Here is a 20159-nt window from a genome sequence, read left to right as displayed (position 1 = left end):
TGAGTCCCTGCCACGATGGACATGGGGAGTGTAGTGGGAGGGAATGGCAAAGGCACCACAGGCAGAGGGAACAGCCTGGGCACAGTGGGGGGTGTGATGTGGCACAGCACTGATTGTGGGAAGCGAGGGATGTGGGAGATGAGGCTTCAGGTAGTCAGAGCGAGGTTGAGGCAAAGCCTCACCTGCATGCTCTAGATGAGGTCCAATTCCTGGTACCCAGCTCCTAGCCTAGTAATGGGCCACTTCTCCCAGGGCCACAGTTTTCTCTCCTATCAAATGGAACATGTTAGCACTGCTCTATGGTGCCAATGAAGGGTATAAGTGTCCAGTGCCCATTTCCTGCCCCAGCAGAGGCACTTTCTTTTCCTTGTCCTCTTGCCTACTGGGGAACTCCTTCCATCCCTGGTTCCTCCCCCAGCTTCTGCGAGGCCCCTCCTCTGAGCCCCCACACCTCATCAAACCCTCAACACCGTCTGGTGTTTTCCTTGGTGCCTCTTCAAGATGCTGTGAGCTCCTTGGGGGCAGGTGGTGCCTGTGTACCTCTATTTTTTTTTTTTTTTTTTTTTTTTGAGACGGAGTCTCGCTCTGTCGCCCAGGCTGGAATGCAGTGGCGCGATCTCGGCTCACTGCAAGCTACACCTCCCGGGTTCACGCCATTCTCCTGCCTCAGTCTCCTGAGTAGCTGGTACTACAGGGGCCCGCCACTGCGCCCGGCTAATTTTTTCTTTTTTTATTTTTTTTTTTTTTGAGAAGGAGTCTCGCTCTGTCTCCCAGGCTGGAGTGCAGTGGCACAATCTCCGCTCACTGCAAACTCCGCCTCCCGGGTTCACGCCATTCTCCTGCCTCAGCCTCCCGAGTAGCTGGGACCACAAGCACCCGCCACCACGCCCAGCTAATTTTTTGTGTTTTTAGTAGAGACGAGGTTTCACCGTGTTAGCCAGGATGGTCTCGATCTCCTGACCTCATGATCTGCCTGCCTCGGCCTCCCAAAGTGCTAGGATTACAGGCGTGAGCCACCACGCCTGGCCTTTTTTTTTTTTGTATTTTTAGTAGAGATGGGCTTTCCCTGTGGTCTTGATCTCCTGACCTCGCGATCCACCTGCCTCGGCCTCCCAAGGTGCTGGGATTACAGGCGTGAGCCACCGCGCCTGGCCCTGTGTATCTGTTTTTCTGGACCGCCATCATGTTCAGGAAGGCATCGAATATTTTGTCCGCGACTGCAATCACACACTGCATCATCCCTGAAACGAGGTTTCCACGGATAAGGTGCAGCAACAGAGAGAGAATCCTAGCAACTTTCAATCATTTTCTTTTGAAATGGTTTTAGACTTACAGAGAGTGGCAAAGACAGCACAGAGCTCCCATATACCCTTCACCTAGCTTCCCTGGATTTTAACATCTGCAGTAACCAGGCTGATGTGTCAAAACTGAGTCAGATATTGATATAATCCTATTACCTAAACTTCAGACTTCGTCTGGATTTCCCAGGTCTCCCACACATGCCCCGCTTCTGTTCCAGCATCCAACCCAGGACACCAGGTGGCATTTAATCTCTGTGTCTCCTACTCCCTTCCAATATGTGGTGACTCCCCAGTCTGTCAATGTCTTTTGTGACTTTGACACTTTTGAAGAACAGTTATTTTGTTGAATGTCCCCTAATTTAGGTTTGTCTGATGCTTGCCCATGATAAGACTAGGGTTACAGGATTTGAGGGAGAACTCCATAGAGTGGATGTGCCCTTTCTTTTTTTCTTTATCATTTTTTTGAGATTGAAACTCGCTCTGTCGCCCAGGCTGGAGTGCGGTGGCACGATCTTGGCTCACTGCAACCTCTGCCTCCTGGGTTCACGCCATTCTCCTGCCTCAGCCTCCTGAGCAGCTGAGACTACAGGCTCCCGCCACCACGCCCGGCTAATTTTTTGTATTTTTAGTAGAGACTGGGTTTCACCACATTGGCCAGGATGGTCTTGATCTCCTGACATCATCGTGATCCGCCCGCCTTGGCCTCCCAAAGTGCTGGGATTACAGGCGTGAGCCACCGTAACCAGCCTGCCCTGCGTAATTTTTGTTGTTGATGATCCAAAGTGCACCCACTCACCATCTCTGGTAGCTGGGAGGAGCAGGTTTTTGGGTGAAGGTGAAAGAGCCGGAGTTGGGGATGTGTGTGGCTGGGGGGTACAGGTGCGACCACTTTGCAGTCCACTCCTGTGAGTAGGGCATTCCTGAGGGAGAGAAGGCCTGGTTAGCCCTGGGGCTCCTTCGAGGCCTGGCCCCAGGCCTTGATACCTAGAGCAGCCTGACACATGTGTGGATGGACTGCCAGGCGGTCCCCTTAGGAGGGGCTGTTCTAGCAGGGACCCTGGCTTGGGTGACCACCACCTCCTGCCACACTCCAGGATCCCTGTCCCTGCTGGAAGCCGGGCCCAGGGCCATGCCAGCCGTGAGGGGTTCCTCATGAGCCTCCTCCCCGGGACCCAGGCCCCATGCAGCTGCCCCCTCCCACCTGCCTGACCCCCCTGGCCTGCACTTCCCTCCATCCGAATCCTCAATCTCCGCCTGGAATTCCCTTCCCTCCTCAACCCCACCTGGAAACTCTCCTCCTCCTCCCACACAGCTGGGACTCCCTTTCTCCCACCTCTGGGGGCCCAAAGCTCTGGATGCCACCCTAGCCCTCAGCTGGCCTCACCTGTCTCCTCATAGCCCCACAGCTTGATGGTGTCTGTGTGGGCAGCGCCTCAACGTGCCAGGTCAGGCTGAGGTTGCCTGAGGTGTTGGCGGTGCCGTAGTATTGCCAATGCATCTCGTTCATCAACTCACTCTTCTCCTTCATCAACACTTTGTTGGGGTGCACTGGGCAGGGGAGGTGAGGGGTGAGTGAGGGCTGGGCCCAGGGAAGCAGGGAGGAGGCCCTGAGGCTTCAAGGGCTGTGGGAGCCTCCAGGGCCAATGCATGGCAGCAGCTGGGTGATGGTCTCTCCGGCCCTCATGGCAGAAAAGGACGCTGAGGCCGGAGAGGCAGGGGCCTGCCCTCCCTCCACTGCCCACGCCTCTAGCCTCCACCTGGCTTCTCCCCTGCCCTGGTGTGGCGGAGCTCAGTGGATAGGCACTGGCCCACCTCTCTAGGGACCCCTGCAGCTCCCACTCACTCTGGGCTGGGACCGTGGTCTGGATGCCAGGGAGTGGAAAGGAGCTGAAGGAACTCTCGCAGGCGGGCAGGCCTCCCAAGGGATTGGTTCAGCCAGAGAGGCAGGACACGGACGGGCCAAGTCTCGGTGTGCATAGATTAGCGCTGGGGAAAGTCCCCGTGGGGGCAGGCTGTGGGCAGGGAGGAGGGCTCACCAGCCAGCCAAGTGCCCGCACGAGGGAAGGAGTGGCCATCGTCCAGTGAGATGGTGAAGGGGACGTGGCCGCTCTCATAGAGCAGGGGCGACACGAAGTGCACTTGCCCGGAGGAGTCCACATGGCCGAGGGTCTGGATGCTCTCCTGTGGCATGCAAACCTGTGGGCCTGGTGGTGGTAGGAGGTGCTGGGCCACTGCAGGCTGAGCATCTCGACAGTCTGGGCCCCCAACCTCCCTGGGGAACCCATCCAACCAGCTGTCCTGTGCCCTCCTGCCTGTCCTGGGTCTGAGGGGCTCCATTCAGCCTGCCAGTGGGTCTGAGCCCTCAGCATGCACAGGGATGGGGGCGTGGGGCCCCAGTGCCCGGCCTCCTGGGCCTCCCAACCTGCAGATCACACTGGCGTCTGTGGGGCTGGACATCTTGAAGTGCCGCACCACAAAGTCCTTGCCGCCCATCATGGATCCTGAGTAGGGCAATATCTCCAGGCAGAAGTCCTGGAAATCCAAGCAGCAGGTACCAAGGCCGGAGCACGTCGGGTGGCAGGAACATGGCCCGTCCAGGGCGCCACAGCGCATGGAGCAGCTCTCTTGGGCATCTGGAGGAGAGGATGCTGAGGGCCTGGCCTGGCGGGTGCTGGACTGGCTGCCCCATGTGCAGGGCCTGTCTCTGTTTCTCCCACAGCCCATTAGACAGCAGCATCCCCAGGAAAATGCTGGCCGGGAACTGCACAGGCCACCACGTTGATATGGTAGAAAGTCACAGGGCCCGTGGGGATGGGATGAATCTTAGCATAGACCATCTGGCTGTTGCCCTGACTGATGGGCTAGAATGCAGCGAGAAGAGGCAAAAGGCTGCACCCGCTCAGCCCTGCAGGGTCAGGAGAAGCCCCCTGGGCATGACTGCCCTTCAGCCACCAAGTCCTCTATCCCACAGGCGGGGGTCCTCAGAGGGCCACGGTAGCTGGAGCCCTCGACCTCTCTTGGCTCCCCAGGGTGTCTGTGAACAGTGCGCCTTCTGGGGGCCCTGAAGACTGCAGAAGAACCCCTTTTGCTTGCCTGGACTGGGGTGGGGGATACAGCTGCCAAGAGTCCCATTCGAGGCCTGGTAGGGAATGGTGCAGGGTCTGAACTTGACCCTTCTCACTCTCCCAGGGGCTGCAATTGAGACCCCAAAGAGAGCTCCGCCCTCAGGGCAGAAGGCCAGGGCTGCTCCCCTCCTTTCTGGGGGGAGGAGGGACATTTCAAGCAGGTGTCCCAGCAGTGGGGAAAGGGAAGTGGGGGTGCACACTGCGAGGGGCTGTGGGTGCTGGGCCCAAAGCATCTCCTATGGGCCATGAGACCCACGGCAGGGCCACATTTCCAGGGACTGGCATGGAGGAAGAGTTGCAGGGAGGGACTGGGGCAGGTGCGTGCCCAGCTGGGGGCCCGGAAGGGAGACAGGTCCCATCCCCGGGCTCCAGAGATGCCACCACCCAGGGAAGCCTTGGCTGTCCCAGCCACACCTAATCCTGCCGCTCAGAGTTTGCATAATTTAATCAGTGTTCACCTCCCTTCTTGAGCAGATGAGGAAACTGAAGCTCAGATGCGGACAGGCAAGGCCGAGCCAGGCCCTTGGTGGCTTCTGGGAGCCCCTGCAGCCAGGGCGGGTGGTAAGGGCTGTGGCCTGGGACTGGTCACTTGGGCCCTGCCACCTGGGCTGGACGTCCAGACAGGCGGGTGGTCCTCTCCCAGCTGCAGCTTCTCAAGGTGTCCAAAAGGGACCCTTGCCACACTTGCAGGGAGTCAGAGCTGGCCCCAGGGCATGAGCTTAGGCCATCTGGTCTGTGATCTGCCCCAGCGCTTGCGGCCAGGCCAGCCCATTGTTCCCCAGCCTGTTCTCTCTCTTGCCTGGGTGGTGCCTGCTGGGAACCACAGGGTGTTGGCAGCCACCCATGGCTCCAGAGAGGTGGGCCCCTACTGAAAGTGTTAGAGGCATGTGCTGGGGGACTTGGCTCCTGAGTCCCCACACAGAGCTGTTCCAGGGAAGCCACACCCGCATTTGATGTCTTCCCACCTCCCAAAGACATTTGGTGAGAGGCCCCCAAGACCTTCAGCTTCTCAGGACTGTTTCCAGAGGGGAGAAAGTCCCTTAACCCACAACGGTGCTCAGGGCACCTCTGCAGGTGAGTGTCCTGTAAGTGGATGCTCAGGCGCTGAGCCACGGAGAGCCTGTCTCCTGGCCCCAGGCTGGCGAGGGCATTCATCCCAGGCCCAGGGCTGAGGTTGCTCCCTACAGCACTGGGTGCAGGTGTCCATCCTCCTGTAGGTGAGGCTCCGGGTGGTTCGTCTGAGACAGTTCCCAGGAACTGGAGGAGGGAGAGCTGCTGCTTCCTGTTTCTGGCCTGGGAACCCTTGCTGCGCGTGTCTGGAGACGATGGAAGTCCGGTAGGGGCTAGGTGTGCAGTCTGGGAAGCTCCATACCACAGGCCCTGCCGTCAGCTGAGTAACTGAGGCTGGCTCATCTCAGCCCCCCAAAGGTGGGTTCAGCCAGACCCATATGGGGCCGCCAAGCCTCTGGTTCCAAAAGGGCAGTGCCCAGCCCTTTAGGCCTTTCTTCTTGGGTGGTGGGTGTGTCCAGCCCATGAGGGGCACAGGGCAGTGAGGAGGGTCCCCATCTCCATCCTGGACAGAGAGCCTGCTCCATGGGAGGTCCCAGGGGCCAGGAGGGCCCCTGTGGTGCTGGGAGGGGAAGAGAGTTGTGAAGGGTGGGTTTGGGTCCCTGGAACCTGTGCATCCCCAAGACAGATGGGCCTGGAGCCTTCGGGGGCGGGGCCAGCTCTAGGGGCTTGTTTAATGCTCTGTGGTGGCTGCCTTAAAATACTTAATCATTTTTGGTCAGGCACGGTGGCTCAGGCCTGTAATCCCAGCACTTTGGGAGGCCTAGGTGGGCGGATCACTTGAGGTCAGGAGTTCAAGACCAGCCTGGCTAACATGGTGAAACTCCGTCTCTACTAAAAATACAAAAATTAGCTGGGCATGGGGACATGTCCCTGCCCCCTGCCCCTTGTGCCCACCCTCTCCCTCCCCCTGCCCCTTGTGCACACCCTCTGTACCCCCCTTCCCGCCCCAGCCTGTGTTTGCAGTGCTACAGGGTGGCTGCAGCCTTCGCCTCCCACAGCTCCTCAAGTTCAGAGGGCTGGGAACCCCTGGGATGTGGCTGGGATGAGGACCCTGCCCCTCGTCAGGCATTTCCAGGCAAGGGGCACAGAGACACAGCCAGCCCAGCAGCTGAGCCCCTCCTATCAGGCCAGGTGGGAAACTGAGGCATGAACACAACCCCAGACTGGAAATAACAAAGCCATCATGTACTGTGTGCCTACTGAATGCCAAGCCCTATGCCCTATTCTTTAATGTCATCTTTAATGAGATGTCTTCACTCAGTTCACCACATGATAGTAGACAGGTATTTATGATGCGCCTACTGCATGCTGGGCACTTTTCTGGGCCATGAGGACTCAGGGAGGTCCCTGCTCTGGTAGAAGTCAAACCCGACAGGAGACAGAGACTAGGGCCCCACACACCAGGAGGAAGAACCCAGTGCAGAGAGTGCCAGCAGGAAGCCACAGGGGCAGGGAAGGCGCTCCTGGGAGGGTGGGTGGCTGCGTCCTGAGGCTGAGCAGGGGGAGCCGGCCTAGGGACAGGATGTGCGCAGGCGTGGAACAGGAAGTTCCTGGAATGATGGGCAAGAGGGAGCAGGTCACTGGGGGCAGGTCTAAATACTGGGGGCTGCATTGGGATAGCAGAGGCCTCGGACAGGCCCGCTCAGCATGTAGACTCCCCTCCCTGGCCCCTTCCCTAGGATGACAGTGGAGGTCCATCCCCAGGTGGTGGTGAGGACACTCCTGACACAGAGACCCCAGCCCAGCTGGCAGGGGAAGGGGAGCCCTCAAGGACCCCTGTAGGTTGGGGCATGTCCCGCCAGGTGGCCCTCCATGGTGCCCAGCAGCAGCCCTGCTTGCGGACCCTCTTTAGTCCCCACTGTTAAAAAAATAATTCAGTGAAAATTGACACTAGCTGGGCATGGTGGTAGGTGCCTATAATCCCAGCTACTCGGGAGGCTGAGACGGGAGAATCGCTTGAACCAGGGAGTCGGAGGTTGCAGTGAGCCGAGATGGCGCCACTGCATTCCAGCCTGGTGACAGAGTGAGACTCCGTCTCAGAAAAAAAAAAAAAAAAGAAAAGAAAAGAAAAAAAGAAAAATGACACTTGCCAAAGCGCTGTAGGGAAGACTGTCCAGGACCGTGTCACTAGGCATAAGGGACCACGGCGATGAGATTCTGCAGTGGGTAAGAGACTGGGCTCAGCCTCGAAGACAGCATGGGCAAGTGGGATCGGACCGTCAAGGAGCAGGGGGAAGACTATCCAGGACCGTGTCACTAGGCATAAGGGACCATGGCGATGAGATTCTGCAGTGGGTAAGAGACTGGGCTCAGCCTCGAAGACAGCATGGGCAAGTGCGATCGGACAGTCAAGGAGCAGGGTGGGGGGCAGCGCATGGAAAGTGACTAAGAGGAAGCATCAGCAGCCAGGGATTCTGGCTTAACTCCCCTAACAGAATTCTTGCTGAAGGCCGGCCAGGATGGCCAGACCGCACCTGGGGGACAGAGGGGGAACCCGATCAGATGTCAAGGACGGGGGGCTTCTTGCTAAACTGACTTTGCAGAATTCTTGCTAAAACTAGAGTTTATAAGGAAGTGCTCAGATGTGCCTAGGAGAAGGCTCAGGAGCCTAAATAAAGCTTGACCAAGCAGAGAATCTTTGTCACCAGCTTGGTGAGAGTGAGGCCCAGAGTGGGTCAGGGCTTACCTGCTCAGGTTGTACAACTGGGAGGGGTCCGTCAGGAGCCTGGAGTCTTCCCACTGGGGGCTGAGTCTGGGCCCTCAGGGCACATATAGGTAGATGCTGTCAGGCCCGACACCCCATGCAGTGCAGACTGGGATGCTGGTGCCTGTGGCACAGACTGGTCAGACCCACCCCAGGCTAGACATTCCTTGCAGGGAGAGCTGAGGCTGTTGATGCCAGGAGCAGACAAACAAGGTCATCACCAGGTAATGAGCTCGTTACCCACATCAGGCAAGGCCATTGCTGGGTAATCATTTGGCCTCCTGCAGAGCCACCTGCCCTGGGACGGTTCCCAGAGATCTGGCTAGCCAGTGCCACAGGAGGCCGGGGCACAGTTCCAGGGCCTAGTGGGCAAGGCAGGGGTATTCAGGGACAAGGTGCACCTGAGTCCCCACAGGAAGCCCCAGACCCTGCAGTAAGACCTGGAACAAGTCATTCTCCTCTCTAAGCTCTCAAAGAAGAGGTCAGCTCAGGGGTCGGGGAGGCAAGGTCTCCTAGAGTAGACTAAGCTGGCCGCTGCCATGCTAACACACACCCTCCCAGCCAGCCGCTGGTCCTGACAGATGAGGAAACTGAGGCTAGGTGTTTTCATGAGGCCTCTGAACCCAGAACCCAGTACCCAGTGTCCTGAGCAAAGCCCAAGCCAGACCTGCCAGCTTATGTGTACAGAGGCCCCACTATGCAGCCTGCACTCCTGGGGCCTAAAAGGACCATCACCTCCCCTTCTAAGAGGCTGGGCACAGGGGCTGGGTCCCAGCCAGGCCACCCTTCCTCCTCCTCCAAAGGCCCAGCAGCAGCTGCTCCCAGAGCAAGCAGCACAGTCGCAGCAAAGGCTGGACAAGTGTCCTGTGCTCTGTGGTCTGAGCAGAGGGCCAGGGGCCGTGACCCACATGGCCCCTCCAGGAGCAGCTCCAAGATGAGCCTTCCTGTCCCCACCAGTGTGTCCGGGACCTCAGGGTGGATCAGCCGCACCTGCCGGCTGCTCCTGTTCCTTGCTCTTCCTGGGGCTCCCCACCACCTTTGGGAGGCAGCTCCAAGACCCTGCTGCCTCCCTTGCTTACCCTCAGGCCCCTGCTGGGTGTGCCCCCTCCCCACACAGACCCCTGAGCCAGCTTCGAGGACTCTGCCTGCATCTCCACGTCCACTCTGATGACTGTGAAGCTACAGTCACACTCTCCGCCTCCACCCCCGCCCTGCCGGGTCCCTGCAGCAGCTCTCAGAGGCCCCCATACCCCCTCCCACACACAGAGCTCGCCTGGCCCTGCCGTCTGAGCGCTCCCCTGGCTCCCAACCGCCCTTGGGCTCTGGGACATAAAACCTCCAGCCAAGGTGGCTGCCAAGTTTTATTTAATAGCCATAGAGCACAAAAGGGATGACAATTAAGTCACACGGAGAGACTGCCCCATCGGGACCCCTGGCCAAGCTAAGCAGAGGAGCCCTGGGGTTTCCTCTGACCCCCCACTGTGAATGCATTACTGACGGGCAAGGTGGCCAGTTGCCCACCCAGCCTGCACGTCTGCATGCACAGAGCTACAGCCTGGGCCCAGGGACAGCCCCGGGAGCCGGTGGCTTCCCACAGGCACAGCCAGCCTCCCCACCCCCACCATGCCTGGCCCCCGGCCCAGGGCACACTGAGGGGAACAGGAGGGGAAGGAGCAGGCCCTGCACTGGAGCCTCAGTCAGCTCCTCTGTGCCAGGGGCAGCTGGAGCTGGCTGAATTTGAGGAACTTCCCGGAGGAACTGGAGAGCAGACCTGTGTGCGCGCCCCGCTCTGCCACGCTCCCTGAGGGACACACTGCTTTGACCAGCCCCCACCCCATCTCCTCTCCGCCAGTCCCCGGTGTCCACCCCAGCCCCGCTACCGATGAAGCTCAAGCCAGGGTCCCCATCACCTGCTTCACGGCCATCCCTGCACTTGAGCTCAGGGGCTCAGGGTTGTGCTGACACACCTGCCTGTCCACCCCTCACCAACACCTCTGCAGTCCTCTTCAGGGCCCAACAGGGTCCCCAGGACCCCGCTCCCATTCTGCCCTTGCTCCTGCCAACCTGTCTTCTCTATGCCCATGACTTTGGGACCCTCTGCCATAAGTACCAGCCCCCACATCTGTAGCCTCTGCAGGAACAAGCCCTAATCTGGACTCATTGCAATGGCTCAGGTTCTCTTCCAGCCTGTCCATAGACCTCCAGGCAGAGATCACAAAACTAACAGCTCTTTCTGCAAATCTGGACTCTCTCCTACACCTTCTCCACCATCCAGGCCTCCCTGTCACTCCTCCTGGGGACCTCAGAGATCTCTTCATTTCACAGGTGAAGACTTGGCTCAGAGAGGGCAGAGCCCCTGGGTCACACAGCCCGTCTCCAGTAGGGCTGGGGAAAAGAACCCAGGGCGCTCTTGTTGGCAGTGTTTTAATGACTGGGGGGAGGGAGAGAATGGCTAATGAGGCTCTAGGGATCAGCAGAGCCAGCTGCTGGAGGTCCCAGAGGACGGGTGACTCAGCAGGAATGGGGGAGTCTGAGGGGTTGACAGAGTGCCCAATTCTCACCTCCTCCTGCACCTTCCAGAGAGACGAGCTGCAGGGAGTGATTGAGTGGATGAACATGACTAGAGGGACCCAGTCTTCTCCTCAGCAGCTGCTTGAGGACAGTATTAGCGGTCCCCTCAATCCCCCCCCCCAACACATGCACACATGCACTGATCTGCAGGGGCCAGACCCCAGTGGACCCGGGGACACAGCTTCCAGGGGCTGTCTTGCCATGTCCCTTCCCAGACCTGCCTGGATTCATGCCAGGCCAACCTCCACAATTTGCTGAGGGAGGCCCCAGGGTCCAGGGCACCCAGAGTGCTAACTAGCCCCTGGGGGTACAGGGAGAACAGCATGCTGTGTGGGGGATACTACTCTGCCCATACCTAGGGCCCTGTGGCGGCCACAGGCAGCACTGCTTATGCAGAGGCACTGGGGTGAGAAGGAGTAGGGTGCAGTAGTGAGGGCTCCACAGAGGGTGGAAGGGCTGCAGGGGAAGGCAGACCAGCAGGGATGCCATGAGGGCCTCAGATGCCAGGCTGCAGAGGTGGACGGGCTGGCCAGCTCCTCTCCCCAGCCTCCTACTGTAAAATGGGAGAGGATCCCAGCCCTGCTGATTCATCCACTCACTCCATGGCAAGACAGCCACTGACAGCTGTGTCCTGGGGCCCACCCGGGCCTGGCCTCTGTGCAGGCTAGCACTCAGCATGCTTAGTGCCACACTCGGCCCAGGAGAAATGACCCAGCCCTGGGCTCAGAGACCCCACAGTGGGTGGATGGAAAACAGAGTCATTTAAATACAACTGTGAAGGGTGCTGTGGAGGAGGGGCTCGAGGTCCCCAGTGTGGGATGGGGTGGTCATGGAACATTTCCCTATCTAAGTGGGAAAAGTGAGAGCCACCAGGAAAATGGCAGGGGTTGGGGGGAGAGGAACTGTGCAAAGACCCAGAAGGATGAAGAAGACTGTTGGATTAGAGGAGGTTAAAGACACAGACAGGCTTGGACATGGTGGCTCATGCCTGTAATCCCAGCACTTTGGGAGGCCAAGACAGGAGGATCACTTGAGGCCAGGAGTTCAAGACCAACCTGGGAAACACAGTGAGACCCTATCACTACAAAAAAAATAAATAAATAAAATAAAATAAATAAAAATAAAAATAAAAAAAGCCGGGCATGGTGGTGCACGCTTGTAGTCCCATCTACTCAGCAGACTGAGGTGGGAGGATCGCTTGAGCCCAGGAGATGGAGGCTGCAGTGAGCTATGATTGCACCACTGCACTCCAGCCTGGGCAACACAGCAAGATCCTGTTTATAAAAACAAAACAAAACAAAAAACCCAGCTTGAGATGGCCAGGGATTTCCAGAGGCCCTAGGCGGGCCACCTTGGAGAGTAAGGGAGACCCTGAAGAGCTCGCATGGAAGGACCAGCAGCTTGGGGCTGGAGATGCCACCTGGATGGATTCCTCCAGCTGTGTGGACTAGGGGACAGGGTGAGGAGATAATGGCCTGGACTACATGGAAGGACGTCGCCCTGAGCCATTGAAAAGGGCTGTGGGGTCCATGACCACTCCTGGCCTTCCCTTGACTATGATGGAGACAGTAGCTTCTAGTGTAAAATGTGAGCTCAGTTCCTGACTCGTGTCTAGCGGGTGGTGCCTGGTCTTTGGCTGGCGATGCTCCATGTCACCTATGCCCAGAAACTGGGCCATGCCCTTTGTGAGGACCTGCCCACAACGTCGTTGTTCCCGCAGGGTCCCCGGGGAACCGGGCTGCCCGGGACCCAGCCCTGCCAGGGTTCCCTGCGCCCCAGGCCGGAACCCCCAGGGCTTTGGTCGTTCCCAAAGCCGTCCCGCGGGCCCCCTCCACGGTGCGTCGCCTGGGCCCCAGCGATGGCTAGGCTGCAGCCTGGGGCTCCCGGCCATCCCGGGCGCTGGCGGCGGTGGAGGCAGCAGGGCGGATGGCGACGCCCGGCCGCCCGTGGGCCCAGGCGCGTAGTGCGTACAGAGCCAGCGAGGTGCTGCGGCGCGTCACGGGCCGCCGGCGGGACCCGGGGCCGCAATCCAATGGGCCGGGCCAGGAAGACGCCCGAGCCCCGGGCCGGCTGGCTCGCCTGCTCGGCCAGCTCCGGGCCGAAGCGGCTTCGCGGTCCGAGGTGCCGCGGCTGCTGAAGCTGGTGGAGCGTGCGGGGGCCGGGGCGGCGGGCGCGGGCGAGAGGACCGGCGCGCACAGCCGCGGCTCCGTGTGCTCAGTATGCGGGGAGCCCCGCGGCAGGGCCACCTACCCGGCGGGGGTCCTGGAGGTCAGCGAGCGGCGGCTGCAGGAGGGACTCGCGGCAGTGCGCGAGGAGCTGGGCGCCGAGATTGAGGCGCTGCGCGCGGAGCTTCGAGCGGAGCTGGACGCTCTGCGCGCGCTGCTGCCGCCGCCGCCGCCGTCCCCGCCTGCCCGCCGCGAGCCCCGCGCCGTCCCCCGCGCCACGCCCCGCGGCCCGACCCTGCTGCGGACGCTCGGCACCGTGAGCGCCCTGGTCGCCGCCTCCAGGCCCGCAGACGACGCCCCGGACGGCCCAGCAGAATGCGGAGCGCACCGAGCCCCGGTCAGGAAGAACCACAAGAAGATGCCAGTGCCGCCTGGGGCCCCGCAAGGTGGCGGGGACTGAGGGCGGCCGCACAAGGGCAGCCTAGGCGAGGTGCGGAAGGCGTCGCGCTGGCTACTCTGGTACCCCCAGGACGGGGCAAGTGAGCAGATCGGTCCCCCTCGTGTAGCGTGGCTCTGAGTCAGAAGGGTGCCCGGGTGCCGCCAGTTAGGGCTCCGGTACTGGAGGGAGGGGGTGGGCGCGGGACGGGCGGAGGGTGGGCCACGTGCGTCTGGGGAGTGCGGCTGGGAGCCGGGGTCCTTGCGAGAGACTGAGTCCGGCTAGAGAACAGGGTGGAGCCCCTTTGGACCTTAGAGCTGGGCCTTTGGGCCTTGGGTCTGGGTCAGCCTTTGGGCCAGGGCTGGGTCAGCCTCCAGGGGAACAGCCGAGACTCCTCTTCCTTGGGGTGACTGCAGGTTCTTTTTCTTTCAAGGTCTCAGTGACGAGGCAGGGTCTCCACGCACTGGAATAGTGTCAAACCACACACAAGGGCACAGAACCCAGGGACACAGGGCGGCTGAGACACGCAGCTGGTGATGGCCCTCAGGACGGTGTCAACCAGTATGTAATCACATTCCACACGGCACCAATTGGACAGCGGCCTCCGGTCAGCCTCACTCTGACTGCAACCCCCTCTCACTGGACAGCATCACCTGGACACAGAGCCTCACCTAGTCTGTGTCCCGTGGACACAACTTTGCTTTGGACAGTGACACCAAGAATACTCACCCCTTTACTTAGCCAGACCACAGGCAGCCACCGGGACACAAACATCTCTCCAGAGTCACCCTCCACACAGACTCCACAGCAGAACTCCCAGGGAGGCACTGGGGCATGGCTTCAGAGCACCAGGCAGCCCTCCGCGGTGCCCAGCACCCGCTCAGCCAGGGCAGCCTGCAGCGGAGCCTGGAGCCAGCAGCTTCTCATCTCTTGGCCTCGGGAAATGTAGCTGGAGTCATCATTTAGCAGAGCACGGTGTCCCTGGGTTGGCCACCCAGCTTAGTTTTAAAATAAAATAATGTAATCTTGGCCTAATGGTGGAATTTCTGACTGCTAGATGTTCTCCTTCCATCTGACCAGGGGATTCAGACACAATGTATAGGATGAGGGTGGGGGCCCTTCTCCCTCTGAGAGGAACCTGGAGAGGCCCGGGTTCTGCTGAGGTAGGAGAGGGTCACTCAGAGGGCTCCCACGGAACAGACAGGCACACTGAGGCCTCAGTGGGATTAGGGCAGGAAATGCCCCTCTTGCAGTGGGGGACCGCGCCGGGTCACGCACCCACCCCCTCCAGGCCACATTAGGCTAAGGTCACTCTGTGCATTATTTCATTATTTCACATGGAGGGTCGCCCACGGTTGACAGAACCACAAGCTGAGCCCCAGGCGCATCAGAGCGCAGTGCACACCTGCTAGGGTGGGGGAAGAGCGGGGGGCTGCTGCGGGGACCGAGGCTCTGGGGGAGGCCAAGACTGCGTGCCCCTTAAGAGGCTGCTGTGGGCCAGGCGCGGTGGCTCACGCCTGTAATCCCAGCACTTTGGGAGGCCGAGGCGGGCGGATCACGAGGTCAGGAGATCGAGACCATCCTGGCTAACACGGTGAAACCCCGTTTCTACTAAAAATACAAAAAATTAGCCGGGCGTGATGGCGGGCGCCTGTAGTCCCAGCTACTCAGGAGGCTGAGGCAGGAGAATGGCATGAACCCGGGAGGCGGAGCTTGCAGTGAGCTGAGATTCCAACACTGCACTCCAGCCTGGGCGACACAGCAAGACCCCGTCTCAAAAAAAAAAAGAGGCTGCTGTGGGCGGAAGTTACCCGTGAGCGGTATGGGGTGAAAGTGGGAGGGTCCAGCCTGGGGCACGCTGTGGAACAGGGTCATCTGAGGGTGCAGGGCAAAGAGATCAAAACGGGGTGGGAGAGGGGCAGCGCCTGCGGGAGGAGCCAGGCAAGGCCCGGGGAGGGGTGTGGGGGGCGAGGGGGAACGGTGGCTCCACCTGCACCCACCGGATGGGTATGGGGTCCTCGAAGACGGTCCAGAGCACCGTGGGCTCGCAGTCAGGCGGGGTCAGTGACCCAGCGAAGCGACAGTAGCTCGAGGTGTTGGGCCGCATCGACGCCAGCAGGAAGGTGGACCTCAGATTCACTGAGAGCCCTGGGCGGCAGAGGGAGGGGGATTGGAACCAGCCTCCCCGTGCCCTGCTGGTGCCATCCCCAGCAAACCCCCCGCCCCTGAGCCGGAAAACGACCCGGTGGCTCCTCACCTGGCTCAGGCACTTTCCTCAAGCCCGACACTATGGCGCAGAAGTTGGTGTTGCTACAGTCCTGCTCCTGGGAGGGGCTCCAAGTGCAAGGGGTTCTGAGTGGGGGAGTCTCTGAAGAGGGAACTCAGCTGGGGTACTCTAAGCAGGAGGTTCCCAGTGGCAGGAGGCATCTGGCATCTGGGAAATGGGGTGGAGGGTTCTCGCCGCCACTGGCCCTGCCGATTCAGGCATTCCCACCGCCCTATCCTCCTACAGATCCTATAGACCCTAGAGATCCCCCCATGGACTCCACAGGCCTAGCCTGTCCACTTCCAGGATCCCCATGAACCCCTTTTTTGGAAACATACATAGAATCACAGCCCTGCCTTCACCGCCAGCAGCAACTCCAGCAGCAGGGCCTGCACTCGAGCCCATCACCGTGGCGTGGTGCCTCCTCCATGCTCTGGTACTTTGTGTTACTGTGGACCACATGCATCTGGGGGTAGGCACAGATGTGGGAGATACCCAGCTGCCCCCACCTTGCTCTCTCTCATCTCCGTGGGAGCACTCCGGCCACCCCACCTTGTGCCCAAGTCTACCTCCATAGCCTGGCGCTGCCTGTCCAGGCTGTGCTCCGAGTCTGCTCGCCTCGGGCCCCCCCCGCCCCCAGCTGATGTGCAGCCGCAGTGCGCGGTAGACAGGCAACAGCAGCCCAGCCTCCCAAATCTCCAGGTGGTTCTGAGGATCAGTGTCCATTCAGAGTAGCAATGAAGGGGAGGAGGCACACGACACCCTCTCTACCTCACCACCTGCCCACCTTGTGCCATTAGGGCACAGGGTACGAGCAGAGGCCCTTCCTCAGGCCAGGCTGCTCCCCAGTGGGGCCCCATTGCCTCCATGGAATGGAACCCATGGTGTCCATGGCTCCTGCTGGTCAGCAGAGCAGAGTTCCACAGACTGCAGGGGAAACCCTCCCCCACACACCCAGCATGGCATGGAAGAAGGCAGAGGGCAGCCCTCCTGGGGTGGGGCTCTGAGCCCAGCTGTGTGTGGTCAGGGATCCTGGCCCTGCCAGAGACCCTGACTCCTGGTCCTCAGGGGCCATGGCTGGTTGTGATTTGTAGGGTGGGACCTGGCACCTACACAGAGGGCGCATCTGGACTGCTGTGTGAGGATGCTCCTTTCCTGTGAAGCTAGCCCCTGTGGAGGGTTTTTGGCCCTGTAGGGTGTCTCAGCTCCCGTGTGTAGGGGGTCCTGGTCCCTGTGTACACTCAGGAGCTCTCATGCCCTGTGTGGGGCTCCTGCTCCTGCCTAGGAGGGGTCCTGACCACAGGGTGCTGACCTGTGTGGCTGTCATTCTCCAGGGTCCAAGGGCCTGGAGGTGCTGAGTCATAGCCTCGGAAGATGAAGGGCCCTAGGGTAGAGTTCCGCCGGACCCTGTGAAAGTCAATGTCGATGAGGGACTGGCCTGGGCCCCCACAGGCAGGGGCCAGCTTCTTCCAGTGGGTGGGGACTGCTGGAACAAGGACTGGGGCCTTTGGGGTGGGGGTGGGGTCAGGGAGGCAGCCTGGGGGTGCAGCAGAGAGTGGCCCCCATACACCCAGAGGATAGCCCAGCCTCAGGAAACCCAGCTCCCTGCTTCCCCCACACCTGAACAGGTCACAGCATCCCCCTTCTCTTGTACCCTGCATCTGGCCTATCCATCTAGTCTCCCGGTTGGCTGCCCCATGGTGAGATGAAGGCAAAAGAGTCTCTGGCACACAGTTGCACACCCACACTGGGACCTCTATCACCTGCACACACTTGGGCTGGCCACAGTAACAGGCACACCAGCCTTGACTGACTCGGGACCGGCGATCACAGCAGGCCCAGACTCACACACAGGGGGACAGTCACACACTTGCACCTGATGCCCAGTCAGTCTACTGGGGCAGACGACTACAGACAGAAACCTGCAAAGGCCACAGAGTGCAGGGTGCAGACTGTCTCTTGGCCACTCTTGCACCACTGGCACATGCTCTGGTGGTCCCAGGACACAGACTGATCTCACTCAGCCTCACATGACACTCTGTCCTCACCACACTTGGGGTCCTGGGAGTCGTAGCACCAGGCACCTATAGAGACAGTGGGCAGGAGGCTGAGCTGAGAGGCCAGTCATCTGGGCCCTCTCCAAGCCCCATCCCATCAGCTGGGGTCCAAGAATGAAGTAGGCCAGGGGCTTAGGCCAGGGGAGGCCAGTGAAGAACCTTCTCTCCTGTCACCCCTACCCCAGTATTTTCTCTCCCCAGTCCCTCCCCACTCCCAGTGGCAAGACCTAAGGGGTGGTGGAGCATGGCAAGAGGGTAGATTGGAGACCAGACGGGAAGAGTCCTGGTGCTCACTCTCAGAGTCTGCACCACACCAGCTGCACCGCAAGGCGAGCATGATGCCAGGGGCGTGCGTGGCTCAGTGGCAGCCGCAGCTAGGAAGGACTAGAAAGTGGCTAGACCGCGGAGCCAGGATGCTGGCCTGGCTACTACATATTTATTCATTAGCTAGCTGGGCTAGGGGCGTGGCTATTGAGGAGAGGATGGGAGGGGTCAGTGCCCAGGCAGGGCCACCAGGAAGAGCGCGAGCGCTCCAAACTCACCCAGGTGTGCTCTGGTCCCAGGGCTGCACTGATGCCAGCAACAATCGCTGAGGTTAATCCTGCAGGGGAGGGGTGACCTATTATTATCCCCACTTACAGTCCAGGAAACAGAGGCTGGGGACCAGAATGACACACCAAAGCCACCAGCAAGAAAGGTCAAATAGTGAGGGCACCTTGAACCCCAGCGCCCATGACTTTCGGGGCAAGGATGGGAGGAAGGTGTAGGATGTCTCTTGCCCCGCTGTGGGCCTGGAACTGCCACCCCATCCCAAGACCACAGCCTCCCTCCTGCCCAGGCCCCCCTGCGGATCCAGGCCAAGACGGAGCCCTGCAGGAGGTCAGAGGAGGGGACTTCTTTGCACCCTGCGCCTCTTTCCAATCGCCAGAGGGCAGGGCCCTACCCACATTGGGGATGGGAAGTCAAATGCAGAAGTTAGGTGAAGTCAGTTCTTGGATACTCCTGTAATGTCACCCTGGTCTTATCTCATGCCTTAGCCCAAGCTGTGCACACAATGGGGTCCTAGGTCCCCCTCACCTCCCAGATTCCACCTTCCCAGGGATGGGACCCCCTAGAACCCTCGGGGGCCTGGGCAGTGGCCTTGCTGGCTCTTGCCTTCCTAGGAGCTGAGCAGGAGCTCCACTCTCAGCAGGGCAGTTCACTGCAGCCTCTGCTTCCTCAGCTCAAGCCATCCTCCCACCTCAGCCTCCTGAGTAGCTGGGAATGCAGACACACACCACCACGCCTGGCAAATTTTTGTATTTTTAGTAGAAACAGGGTTTCACCATGTTGCCCAGGCTGGTCTCGAATGCCTGAGCTCAAGCGATCTACCCACCTCGGGCTCCCAAAGTGTGGGAGCCAAGATGGGAACCCAAGCATACGGCCCCAATGCTGAGGCTCTGAACTACTGACCTGCCCTCAGCACTCAGCCTTGGGATCATGAGTCACTGTGCAAGGGAGTTCCAACATCTGCATGTATGTCTGGAATGATCTGAGCCTGCAGAGTTCCTACACACTGGCCACATTATAGGGTGGTGTCCGTGGTCACACAGCTCAGGGCAGGTATTTATTAGTACATGAATAGCTTAGCTGTGTCATAGTCTTTATGTGAAAGGCACAAAAAAAGGCACTTTGGCAGGCTCAAAGTGTGGGGATTATAGGTGTCAGCCACCGTGCCTAGCCCACTGGATGACTTATGATATCATATGTGACATTGTGACATCATGTGAGTCAGGGATGTACCCCGTTCTCAGCTGCTATATGCTATGTTACACTGACAGAATGGGAATGAAGAATGTGTCCCACTCTCTCAGCTGTTGTATTATATCATACAAGGTGCAGTGACTAAGTGTGTCAGCTGTGTCCTCATCCTACATAGCATATGAGAGTGTGTGACGGGAGATAGGATGCAGACCTGAGAAGCATTAAACACCTAGGCAATAAAGGTGCCAGCATCAGCTGAGAGCGCAGGTAGACCTCAGTCACATTTGTTACTGTGTAACTAAAAATACAAAATTAGCTGGGTGAGGTGGTGCACGCCTGTGGTCCCCACTGCTCAGGCACCTGAGGCAGGAGAATTGCTTGAACCCAGGAGGCAGAGGTTGCAGTGAGCTGAGATTGCACCACTGCACTCCAGCCTTGGGGACAGAGTGAGACTGTATCTCAAAAAAATAAAATAAAATAATCTAGGACAACCAAGAGAAGGACTCAGGCTCACCTTACTCTATGTCACATGTGATATATAACACTTGAGGGGGACACACACTTGTCACTTTGTATCACTATGTCCTATATGATAGCCAATGATAACCCAAGAGGGGGAGGCAGCCTTGTTCACACCATGTCACTTATGATATTATATGACATCAAGGAGCCCAGACCTCAGTTGCATTATGTCACTATGGCACATACAGTATCATGCAA

The 20159-nt window shown here is 59.4% G+C and overlaps 1 protein-coding gene, 1 long non-coding RNA gene and 2 pseudogenes across 4 annotated transcripts; 1 reads left to right on the top strand and 3 right to left on the bottom strand.

The window, feature by feature from the left end:
- SUSD2P1 (sushi domain containing 2 pseudogene 1) lies at positions 2049-3937 on the bottom strand (annotated as a pseudogene).
- FAM246A (family with sequence similarity 246 member A) lies at positions 12699-14402 on the top strand. 3 transcript variants are annotated; one of them, XR_007067957.1, is made up of 2 exons: positions 12699-13476; positions 13807-14402. XR_007067957.1 is itself a non-coding variant. In XM_047441116.1 (2 exons), the coding sequence occupies exon 1, from the start codon at positions 12699-12701 to the stop codon at positions 13395-13397; it is 699 nt and encodes a 232-aa protein (XP_047297072.1). In that variant the 3' UTR covers positions 13398-13427; positions 13807-14402. The 3 variants fall into 3 exon arrangements, 2 of the variants coding, with proteins under 2 accessions (XP_047297072.1, NP_001382954.1); XM_047441116.1 differs by having other exon boundaries at positions 12699-13427; NM_001396025.1 differs by lacking the exon at positions 13807-14402 and having other exon boundaries at positions 12699-13397.
- On the bottom strand, positions 14702-18081 carry CA15P3 (CA15 pseudogene 3; annotated as a pseudogene).
- Positions 15931-19385, bottom strand: LINC01651 (long intergenic non-protein coding RNA 1651). The gene is made up of 4 exons (NR_170329.1): positions 19149-19385; positions 18239-18297; positions 16952-17046; positions 15931-16105 (listed from the first exon to the last, which is right to left on the bottom strand). It is a non-coding gene; the product is annotated as a long intergenic non-protein coding RNA 1651 (long non-coding RNA).
- Between the last annotated feature and the right edge of the window lie 774 nt (positions 19386-20159).

The sequence above is a fragment of the Homo sapiens genome, chromosome 22 (assembly GCF_000001405.40).
Source record: "Homo sapiens chromosome 22, GRCh38.p14 Primary Assembly".
Classification (NCBI taxonomy): Eukaryota; Metazoa; Chordata; class Mammalia; order Primates; family Hominidae; genus Homo; species Homo sapiens.
The sequence above is the reverse complement of the archived record's forward strand: the minus strand, read 5'-3'. Positions and strand labels throughout refer to the sequence as shown.

What these genes read in the sequence shown, in the direction of transcription:
- FAM246A (XM_047441116.1), top strand. Translation starts at nt 12,699, where the DNA reads ATGGCGACGCCCGGCCGCCCGTGGGCCCAGGCGCGTAGTGCGTACAGA.